Source organism: Homo sapiens, chromosome 4 (genome assembly GCF_000001405.40).
Source record: "Homo sapiens chromosome 4, GRCh38.p14 Primary Assembly".
NCBI lineage: Eukaryota > Metazoa > Chordata > Mammalia > Primates > Hominidae > Homo > Homo sapiens.
Window position 1 is genome coordinate 67,941,578 of NC_000004.12, and position 12,078 is coordinate 67,953,655.

At 36.7% G+C, this 12,078-nt stretch overlaps 1 protein-coding gene across 2 annotated transcripts in view; it reads right to left on the reverse strand.

The window, feature by feature from the left end:
• TMPRSS11A (transmembrane serine protease 11A) overlaps nt 1–12,078 on the reverse strand; it is a 54,099-nt gene that overhangs the window by 32,183 nt on the left and 9,838 nt on the right. The window contains exons 2-3 of one of the 2 annotated variants that reach the window (NM_001114387.2): nt 4,873–4,994; nt 2,942–3,060 (exon numbers count right to left, since the gene is read on the reverse strand). In NM_001114387.2, the coding sequence (NP_001107859.1) occupies nt 2,942–3,060; nt 4,873–4,994 (241 nt within the window). Of the gene's footprint in view, nt 1–2,932; nt 3,061–4,872; nt 4,995–12,078 lie in introns of both variants that reach the window. The other variant, NM_182606.4, reaches the window with a different exon arrangement.

Below are 12,078 nucleotides of genomic sequence, written 5' to 3' on the forward strand. Positions count from 1 at the left end.
TCTGCAAGACCCAGGTGCCAAGAAATGCATGCAATGAACTCAATAATAATACCATATATTAGGAAAAGCCAAGATATTTTAACTAGTTATATTCAAAAACTGGCTCACTATATGAATTAAAAAACTGAATCTACCTAACACATCCAAAGGTGGATTCCACATGTATTGGAGACCTAATGTAAAAGATAAAACTATAAGGTTAATAAGTAACATAGTAAAATATTTTTATGTCTTAGAAGGGAAGAAGGACTTCTTAAAGAAAAGCTTCAAAATACAATCATAAGGCAAAACAGTGAAAAAATGATTACTTCAGTTACAGATTTCGGTTTCATAAAGAACAACACGGTCCATATTAGTAGAAGACAGAATGGATAAGCGCAGTGTCCACAACCAACACACTATCAATATCCAGAAAATGTAAAGAACTTCTGCAAAGCAATACAAATAAGGTGAAAAAGCAAGTTTAACAGAAAAATAGGCAAATAATATGTACAGGCAATTTATAGAAATGAAAGTCCAAAAAGTTAATAATTATACGTAACAATGCACAAACTCATTAGTAATTAGAAACATGCAAATTAAATCACAAATAAAATACTACTTTATACATATTAGGGTGGCAAATTTAGAAAGCCAAATAATACCAAGTGCTGTGGACTGAATGTTTGTGTTCCCCTGAAATTTATATTTTGAGACCTTAACTCCCAAACCGATGATAGAGGAGATGGGGCCTTTGGAGGATAGTTAGGTCATGAGGGTGGAGTTCTCATGAAAGTCATTAGTGTCCTTACAAAAGAAAGTTCTCTTATGGCTTCTGCCATGAGGGACACAGCAAGATGGTATTCTATGAACCAGGAAGCAGGCTCTCACCAGACATCTGCTAGAGCCTTGATCATCTTCATCTTGGAATCTTCAGCCTCCAGAACTATGAGAAATAATTGTTTGTTGTTTAAGATACCCAGCCTATGGTACTTTTTGTTGTAGTAGCCTAAACATACTAAGACACTAAGTGTTGGTTAGATGTGGGGACATAGAAATCCTCATGCATTGTAGATGGGCGTGCACACTGAGTCAGCCATTTTGAAGAGCAAACCTGCACCAATTGGTCAAGTTAAGTATATGTACATTCAATGACCTAGTAATTCTGCTTGCAGAAGTACTTGCATAGGTCTATAAGGGGGTAAGTAGGAGTCTGTTTAGTGTGGCATTTCTTGGCATGACAGGCAGGTAAATATGGAAGATACACACTATGAATTAGCAGCTAACAGCAATAAACTAAAGGTATATTTAGTAACATATATCTTTTAAAAAGTTCTCAGTAAAAAGAGATGAAACAAAAGTGATTTATAACACAAAATGTAAGTTAAAAGCAAGTGTACGCAAAATAGCAAAACATATTTTTGTAAGAATGAATACAAACAAAAGAATACCACATGAAACATAGAATGATTTCCTGCAAGGGGGGAGGGTAAGGGCTTATGCTATGGTGATAAAGGAGGATAAATAAATAATGACAACCAGAGAAGGGCCTTGCAGGTACCCATGATGATAATGTGTCCTTACTTAACTTAGCCTTAGCCTTTGAAGGAACACATGCTTAGGTGAAACTTAAAACTCCACTTTTAAATAGAGTTTCTGTTCAACATGCACCTCCGCATTTCTCTCACTTCTCTTAAGACCTATTGCATTCTTCTCCGTTTACTTCAGTAAAGACAGAATTGCTTAGTTAACTTACAACAACAACAGTAGCAGTAATGTTGGCCATAAAATATAAATGAAACAAATTTCAAAATTTCCCAGTAAATTGTAACATTTTCCATCATTCAAAGGTGTGTTTATCTTTTTAACTAAGGCAAGTTAAGAGTTTTCTCTTTTTGCATCGAGGAGGTTATGTGGAGTCACTTAGGACTGGAGGAGTAGAGAAGGTATTTGGGTGTATTGGTGCAGGCTCCCCGTTCATCCTAGCATAACTTAAGAACTGATTGCAAATGCTCTTTTATAAGATGCTCTGCATGTGAAAGAATGCAGAATCTATATCAATCTGTAGACATTAATTATTGGTTGGGAAAGATGAAACCACAAAATTAAGAAATTGTGAATGATTTAATGTTAACTGAAAATAGAGATTATAAACTCTACAATATTATTGTAAATATGATGCCATTAGGTATACTATGGACAAAGAGCAAATGATGACAGGAAAAAATGGTAGATGATTTGGGAAAGAAAGTGTCTTAAAAATGGTTCTTTGATTAAAACAAACCAATACATTTGTCATTTCTTTCTTTTTAAAATAAGTCTCTGCTTCTGTGCTTCCTTGTTAGAAAAATTAATTTGAACCTAGTTTTTGAGTGAGAATTCATGGGCATTCTGAGTGGAATGATTATACAACTGAGTGTGCTTTTTTTCTTTTTGGGAGCAGTCTTGCACTTTAGCTTTAACAAAATTATTAGCATTTGACTTGATTACTACAAAATAAGTCTGGTTTTTTGTCTTTATCAATATACTTACAAGATGAACGTAAATTCTGAAAATACTCAAAATCTTAAAATGTGGTCTTACAAACAAGTGTGTGGACTTATAAAAACTAGTTTTGATATGATTAGGCTTTTCTACAGGGGAAACGTGGTGGAATTGGGGAAGAAATGGGCTAGGATATCTTGGCCTCAATTCTCTTACCTTTAAATAAGGTAGCTGAGTTAGAAAGAGAGGCTTATTAGAATCACCCATTTGTTAGACATGCAGATTCCCTTACTCTCCTCTCCCCACCTACCCATCTCATCATACTCTGATTAAGCAGGTCTGGGATGGGGCCTAGCAATCTGCAAGATGATTCTAATGTTGGCGGTCTGAAAATCATGTTTTTAGAAATGGAGAAATGATCCACAAAATCCCTTCCACTTGCATTATTCTATGATAAAAAGAAGTTTACCTGACTCACCAAATTTTCGGTCGTCTCTCGTAAGTCCTTAAGTTGATATGTGTTGCTTTGTCCGAAATTGTTATTGATTTGTGGATCTAAAATTTTAAAGGAGCCATGATAGTACTCCTTTTTTTGGTCTGCAATGGAAATGAAAAATAGGAAACTAAATGGTTTGGACAAAGATTTCAGAACTCAATTACAATGGGGCCAATATAAATCTTGAATATGTCCCTGAGCCTCTTCATAATTGAGTTTTATTTAAAAAATAACAGTTAATGTTTTATATCAATTATAATAGCTGCCATTTATTGAGTTTCTACAATATGGCAGGCACTGTCCTGTGCACTTTTTATGTATTAGCCCATTTAATCCCCACACCAGCTCTCTAAGATTGGTATCACCTTCATTTTACAGATAAGGAAATTAAGGCACAGAGGCATTAAGTAAATTGTTCTGTAACTAGTAGGTGGCCTGTCCAAGTTTTAAATCCAGTCTAGCTGTAGAGCTTGAACATTTCATTGCTACATTGCTCCTTGCTGAGTTGAAATGTGTACCATCATACACTCTAGTGGAAGTAGAGATAAGTGAATGTCCTTGTGAATTTTGATTTTTAACAAGAGAGCCAGGCACACTAAGAAAAACCTGAAAAGAAAGTGTAGAGAAGAGCTGTCTGAGATTGAAGACAAGACGAGCATGAAACAGGGATAAATCTATTAGGAAATGTAAGAAAGGAAAGCAGTTGAGACTCCTAAGGAATTTGGTAATCTGAGGAGTAAGGCCCAGAGGGAGTAAGAAAGATACAGAGTTAAAGATAGAGAATGGGAAAAATACAAAACAACCTCAATCCTTGAGAAGCCTGGCTCAGGGAAGAGGGAGTGGGTTTCGAGACTACAAACCAAGGAAAGAAACAGGGATATCAGGAAGGCATATGTCTTAAGTGGGAAATCTCTGGACCTTGTAATACATTTTTGGACATCCTGATTACTTACCCATATAATCCATACTGTTAACAAACCTTACTCTCATTGTAAAGAGACTTTTATGCAACCAAATAAAGTGACCTGAGAATCTTTTGCCAATGGTATAAACTACAGCTGGGGTTATCATATAAGGCCTAGGACTATGATCTTAAGCCCTTTAAGGCTCCAAGTAGAGTCTTTGCTCCCCCATTGACTCTGTGAAGGTGACAGCAGATAAGAGCGTTAAAGTGAGCAGCCTGAGTTATTTGTTTTATCACATACATCCATGTGAGAGTCACATTGTAGAGATTTGTGAAAAAATGTAAATGGCTTGCATTCTCCCCAGAAAGAGACTGAATGTAAAAAGAGAATCTTGAAGTGCATTATTTGTGTAATTACAAATATATTAGTTGATAAAAATATAATCCCTGAATATTGTTTTGGAAAGAGTAAAATTTTTTTTCTCTAAAAATAAATGATAATATTGTGTCATACGTATAGGTTTTCAATCATTTTGAAATTCCTTATTTTATTAGACAAGTGTTTTTCTTTTGCCTTAGAAATGTTGGACAGAAAATGATGGTTCATGAGTAAAAGAGCCAATTTTAATAACTAATTTATCATAACTTTTCATTTTAATATATAATAAGTGATGAGTTGTTTATTATAATTACTAGTAAGTTTCAGACAATTACAATTTTTGATCTTTTTGTGTAGATTCTCAAAAGAATTCTGGGTTGAGAGCTCTAAGGAAATTAGAAATCTGTCTACTTTGCTTAAAGCTGTATCTTGAATATCCAGAAAAGTACTCACATATAATAAGAATTTAGTACTTGTTTGTTGATGAAATGACTGAAACAGTTAAATATACTCTGTGGAAATTTGAAGGTAAATGTGCAATTTTTTAGATGAAGTTACATTTACATATATGTAAATGGAGCTTTGCAGAAAAATAAAATCAAATAGAGTGAAATCTTTAATTTTACCTACCAAATACTAGGAAGTGAACCAGGAGACCTATGGTCACTGCCACCACTGTCAGGGACAACACAATGAGAACGGCAATCATCCATGGCTTCAGATTTCTGCTTCGGGTGCCAAATCCCACTGTCCTGAGAAAAGGAAGGGCCCACTGGTTACTCTCAGATAGCAATGCTTGCAGGTTTTCCAGCTCTCCTTAGACAAGTTCAAGTTGCTGTAGCCTACCTTTCCCTGCAAAAAGGTCTTTAATTTTGTTCAATGTCATCTTGGTCTGAGAAGATGTGTTAAAAAAAAAAAATCAGGATCTGGGAATCCTAATGTTGCTCCTGCTTTCTATTTTAGAGGCATTTGGTGGCCTCTTTGTGGTGGTCAGGAATGGTTTCTCTTAGCAGCATGGTCCAAGGTGGCATACATGCTTGAAAAGGGACCATTCCTCCTTTCTCCAGCACTTTGTTATCTCTTTTATCTGTCTATCCTTTTAGAGTTTACAAAGTGATTTTAAATCTATTATCTCATTTATTTTTATCTTTTGTCTTTTATTTTTAAGTATTATGAAAATGTTCAGACATAAAAAATTACTAAGAATAGTATAATTGAACATCCATATATATATCACATTATTATATCAATTGTTGAAAATTTTACTGTATTTGGCTCATTTATTTTTTCTGCTGCTATATTTTAATGTGAAATAAAACATCGTGACTTTTTACCAAATCATTATTATAGACAATTAGGATATATCCAACATAACCATGATACTCTTAACACTCCTAAAAAATTAATGATATTTCTGCCATATCATCTAATACCCAGTCCATCTTCAAGTTCCCTCCATGGTTTCATTATAATTACACATGATTTGTAAAAGCCAAGACATAATCGAGGACCATGCAGTGCACTTGTTTGTTATGCCTTTTTAATCTCTTTTAATCTAAAAGAGTCCTGCTTCTTTTTTAGTTTTTAATGACATTGACCATTGAAGAGATCAAGCTAAACATCCTTTAGAATATCTTACTTTCTGGACTTGTCTGAATGCTTTCCTGTGGTATTATTTAACTTGTTCTTTTATATCCCTCATTTCCTATAAATTGGATTACTTTTAGATTTTCTTTAGCTCTGAAGTCTTGATTAGATTTTGGTTAAATTCATTTGGCAAGAATACTTCAAAGGTGGTGCTGTGTATTTTATATTGCATCACACCAGGGATAAAAATTTTTCCACAATTTTGGAGGAAAAAATAACTCTTTGCTGTTCTTCTGGCACCTATGATCAGCAACAGTGCTTCTCACATTGAATCAAGTATTAGTTTGCATGTATGTTCACTTACAGATAGCTTCTCAATGGGCTGCATTAGCCTTGTTCATCTTTTTACCGCTAAGACCCAATAAGGCACCTGGACAGAGTAGGAATCATATAAATCTATGAGAGTCAGGCAGGAATGATACCAACATTACACAGGAAATAACACAGGATGAGAGAGAGGATATCTGTTTAAGGGCCCAGGTCGACTAACTCCCGTGCTTGTTCTCTAAAACTTGCTATTATAGTGAATTTTATTTATCCAATTTATCAGAGTTTATCTCTTTATGTGTATATATTGATAGCCTAAATTTTTTTGGAAACAGAGGATATTTTTCATATTTTCTTCACAGGATTGGTTGATTTATAGAAAGTTTTTCTTTTGACTATAAAACAGTTTTTTTCTTTTTTTTTTTTTTTTTTTTTGAGACGGAGTCTCACTGTGTCATCCAGGCTGCCAGGCTGGAGTGCAGTGGTGTGATCTCTGCTCACTGCAAGCTCTGCCTCCCAGGTTCACGCCATTCTCCTGCCTCAGCCTCCTGAATAGCTGGGACTAAAGGCGTCCACCACCACGCCCGGCTAATTTTTTGTATTTTTAGTAGAAACAGGGTTTCATGGTGTTAGCCAGGATGGTCTCCATCTCCTGACCTGGTGATCCACCCACCTCGGCCTCCCAAAGTGCTGGGATTACAGGCATGAGCCACTGCACCCGGTCTTACAAAAGTTTTTTATATATAAATGCCAGGATAAAAGTTAAAACTGTTTGGACCTAAAATAGTTAAGAAGATAATAGTTTTGGCATAAGTAATAAAATTAATCAAGAATCCTCATGGAATTTGGGAAACCTGAATTCTATTGAGTAAATATTGACCATATGTGCACCGACTGATTAAAAATAATCTAGAGAACTGGCTGCGGAAAGGCAGCAGGTCCTGTGATAGAAACAAGCTAACATGCTTGAATAGAACAACAAACAGAAGTCCCATGGGACATGACATTATTTAACCTCCTAAATGGCTTAAAACATACATTTATAAGTGAAGGAGACCTTAAAGATTGTTTAGTGTGATTGAATTACTTTCCATATGAGAAAAATGAAGTCCAGTGATGATTAAGTAATTTCTCCAGTATAATAGAACTACTAGTTATCTCAAACTCAGGTCTTCTTACTTCTAGGACACAAATTTATTCTCGGTGCCCCTCTCGATTGATTTCGTTCAAATTATTTAATAAATTTATCATTTATGTATTAATCTATTCATTCACTCATACATATTCAATTTGTTCAACTCTTCATTTTCTCATAGAATCTTATCAATGTGTCTTCAAGTCATTTGAAAAGAAAAAAAGACCAAAGGAGAAAAGTTAAAACTCAAGGAAATTTATAAGCTTTCAATCTATTTCCCTATTAGAGCACAGTTCCTCTGAGTAAGATAAATGGAGAAAGTAGATAAAAGAATCACATCTCCCACCACCAAGACACATAGTCACACTGAAAGGAACTGAACCGTGGGATCAGAGCTGAAGAGTGGTTCAATACCCATTGACATACTGATCAAGTGTCATGGAAGTCATATCTTCAAATCCCACGGAAGAAGCTGTGAGCATCTGAGGGAAAATGGTGGCCAGCAGACTAGGGTGATAAGTTGTTAGAGTGTTTCTCCTTTTGAGGAAACATTTAGATAATATAGCAGATGCGCACTGCCAGATTACAAAAGCTACAGAAGCCATAGGTTAAAGCTGCAGCTACTAAATCCTATATGAATAAATCTTCAACTTACTGCCTACTTTTATGAATATAAACAAGGAATACGTAAAAACAAAAATGTATCACCACCGGGCATGGTGGCTCACTCTTGTAATCCCAGCACTTTAGGAGGCTGAAGTGGGCAGGTCACTTGAAGTCAGAAGTTCAAGACCCTCCTGACCAACATGGTAAAACCTTGTCTCTACTAAAAATGCAAAAATTAATTGGGTGTGGTGGTGTACACCTGTAATTCCAGCTACTCGGGAGACTGAGGCACCAGAATTGCTTGAACCCGGGAGATGGAGGTTGCAGTGAGCTGAAATGGCGCCACTGCACTCCAGCCTGGGCGACTGGGAGACTCCATCTCAAAAAAAAGTATCATCACCTTCTCATTCTGCAGAGGCCATATTAGTCATTTGTGTAATATTACTTCATATTTGAAAAAGAAATACACTTGGTAAATCCTTTTGGGATCTAACCTTTTTGAAATTAAAGATGCACCATTTTGCTCCTGCATTTTTTTGTGCTTTGCTTGTGCTGATAAAACAAACACAGGTGTATTAATTTTCTATTGTTTTGTAACAAATTACCACAAATTTAGCAGATCAAAGCAACACCTATTTATTAGCTCACAGCTCTGTATGTGGCATGGATGGGCTTTCTGCTCAGGATCTCACATGGCTGAAATCAAGGCTTTGATTGGGCCTGCTTTCTCATCTGAAATTTGTGATCCTCTTCCAAGCTCATTTAGGTATTAGGCAGAACTCAGTTCCTTGAAGCTGAACTGAGGTCTCTGTTCTCTTGCTGGCTGTGAGTCAGAGGCCTCTCTCAGCTCCCAGATGCCATCCATTACTTGCCACTTGGCCATCTCCTTCTTCAAAGCCAGCAGTGGAGAATTTCCCTCACATCAAATCTCTCTCACACTTTGAATCTCTCTATTGGGGAAGCCCAGGCTCTTTAAAAATGTCATCCGATTAGGGTAGGCCCATCAGGGATACTCTCCCATCTTCAAGCCAATTGATTCGGGAACTTTATTACATCTGCAAAATTTCCTCACAGCAGCACCTAGATTAGAGTTTGACTGAATAATTGGGATAAAGTCTATGTACACCGGAGGGGGGAATCTTGGGGGCCCTCTTAGAATTCTGCCTACCATAACTGAAAATATGCCTTTCAGGAAAATGAACAGAAATCTACAGCCTTCAAAGAAAGCATGTGAGATTTAAATATTCTTTTATTTTTGAGGGAGAACTATTCGATGAGAAGGGAATTTTATGGTAAGCATAGAATTAAAAATAACTAAGGGATATTTTACTGAAGTAGTAATTTTGGAAATACAAAGTAAGTGCTTAAAAATTAAAATAGGAAGAAAGCTAAAAGTAATCCCTGATTATGACTACTTGGCACTCTGCAGTCTTTGGGGATGTAAAGGTGGCCAAGAAAGAGCCCCTGGTGAGGTGGAAGAGCCTTGGTGGGCCAAGGCCAAGGCAGGCATCACCTTTGGCTGTCACCTGGCCAAACAAGAGATGGGGCAGACCCCTGTGGCACAGACAGCCCCAAAGGATGTGAGTCCCCAGAGTACAGATGATCCTTATTCACAGTAACACATTATCCTTACTCAGAGTAACACAACCTATAATTTCCATGAAATCCAATTAGACCAATCCAAATCCATTAGACCTTCATTCAGTTTGATTATTTGGGATTTAGAAAGATGTAGTCATGCCAGGTTTTTTCTAAAGATGCTGTCAATGAAAACATGGTAATAATTTGAATAATTTCATGACTTTGCTTTCTGCAGTCTTGTAGACTGAAAGACACATTCATTGAAGAATATATAAAGCAGTATGGATTGTTAATGATCAGAGCTGAGAATTGCAGTTTCTCAGTAACAAAGTTCTAAGTTGGCAACTTCTGTGTATGTGAGTTCAAAGATGACTGGAGTCAAGACAAAGAGATTGTAAACCCTTTACTTCCCAAGGATCTTACTTTTCCTAGAAAAGCCTTCCCTGAAGGCAGCCACTTTGGCCACTCCAAGATCAACCACATGCTTTTGTCATTTTATCTCTAAGCTCCAAGTCTCTTCTTTTGGGGGGATATTTTTTTTTTTTTGCTTTCTTGTACATATATATTAACAGTGTATAAATGTAGATGCATGTGACTATTACACAAATGCCAATTTACAGACAGGATATTTTTTCACAAGTCTTCATAAAGAAGTCCAAAATACACTATCTGATTTTAAAAGGGATTATTGGTCAGCTTTCCAGGCCAAACTACAAGTCTACTTAACTCCTAATGTAACTGAACAAAGGTGCTAAGGTACTAAATTCCATGGAGCCATTTCACCTAGAAAGCTTTGCTTCCCTTTTCCTAGCCTAGGACCTATTTCTGAAAGAAAGTTCTTATAGAAGCAAAGTGATAACTCTCCTTTTACTAAAGGAAATTGTGGTTCTTTTTGAGGGACTGAACTTAGTCATTTTCTACAAGGAAAGCAACCTTCTGTGGTGACTTAATATACTCTGATATGTGGATATCTGTCTGGGTATGCTATGACTCTTTTAGAATGACCATTTAATACCTGAAATGATAGAATATAGAACTGCTATTTAGGAAGTGCTGACTTTGTAGGGATTGTTGATATATTTTCCCATTTTATTCTCCAAACACTGCTGTCAGCAGAATTATTTGTCATCATTTTATAGGTGAATAACTTGCTCTGAGAGAGCAATAACTTGCTCAATTCATGCAGCCAGTACGCAGAGTTAGAACCTACTGTGTGGCTGCTATGACTTAGAAGCCTGTTTTCTCTGTTATGTCAAACTGCCCTTGAGAAAGATTCTTTTTCCTTCTTCAGAATAGGCTTCCTTTTAACCCAAATGAATAATTGTGGAACTTCAAGTAGCATAAAAGGTAAGTGAAAGGATTTATAGAATCAGTGTAGAGGTGGTTTTACTGATATGAAGCTCCACCAAATCTTCATTGTGATTATGTTTCAAATTTGATTTTGCTTTCATATCTCCTCCCTTTCCACTGGCTTTAAATTCTTACATACTTTGAAAAGGTTAGAATTCCTTTCCTCCCCATCCCCACAGAGGTTCCCATAATGGTGGCCAAAGTAATGTCATTGAAAGGAGGCCTGTGAGATAAGTGTGTATGGAAAAATCAGTGACCATATTTGAGGTTGTTTGTAAACTTCAAAGGCTTTTATTTAATTTGATGCTTTTTTCTATGCTTCCAAATATTCTCTATATGTTTTAATTCTTGATATGTTATGTGTACACATATCTTCTTCCCCCTAAGTGTGCAAGATCCTGAAGATGGTGAATAAATCATACACAGCATTGGGGCATTTCTCAAATAGTGTTTCCAAGTAGTGGAGGGAGGAGAGGTTTCACACATTCAGATAGATTTGGAAAAAATGGTTTAAATCAGCAGCCCCAACCTTTTTGGCACCAGGGACTGGTTTTGTGGAAGACAAGTTTTCCATGGACAGGGGTAGGGGGGGTGGTTTGGTAATGAAATTGTTCCACCTCAGATCATCAGGCATTAGATTCTCATAAGGAGCATGTAACCTGGGTCCCTCGCATGTGCAGTTTACAATAGGGTTCATGCCTCTATGGGAAGCTAATGCCTCTGCTGATCTAACAGGAGGGAGAGCTTGGGTGGTAATGCTCACTTGCCTACTGCTCACCTCCTGCTGTGCTGCCTAGTTCCTAACAGGCCATGGACAGGTACTGATCTGCAGCCCGGGACTTGGGGATCCCTGGTTTAAATGAAGTTAAATAGAATCCTCACTTATGCAAGTCTTAGTGCCTTTAATGGTTTCAAATGAGATTAAAGATGAGCAGCTTTTCTTAGTTTTTTTTAATATATCTGATAACTAATACAACCCCAGGGCCTAATACACCACCTAGCTCTTACAGACTTGAAAACTACTTGTTGAATTAGATTGAAGTAAAAGTTTTCCAAATGTACTTTTTTACTCCCATCTCTACTGGGATGGTGGTAAAAAATTATTTCTTGGGGCCAGGTGTGGTGGCTCACGCCTGTAATCCCAACACTTTCGGAGGTAGAGGTGGGCAGATCATGTGAGGTTGGGAGTTCGAGACCAGCCTAACCAACATGGAGAAACCCCGTCTCTACTAAAAATACAAAATTAGCTG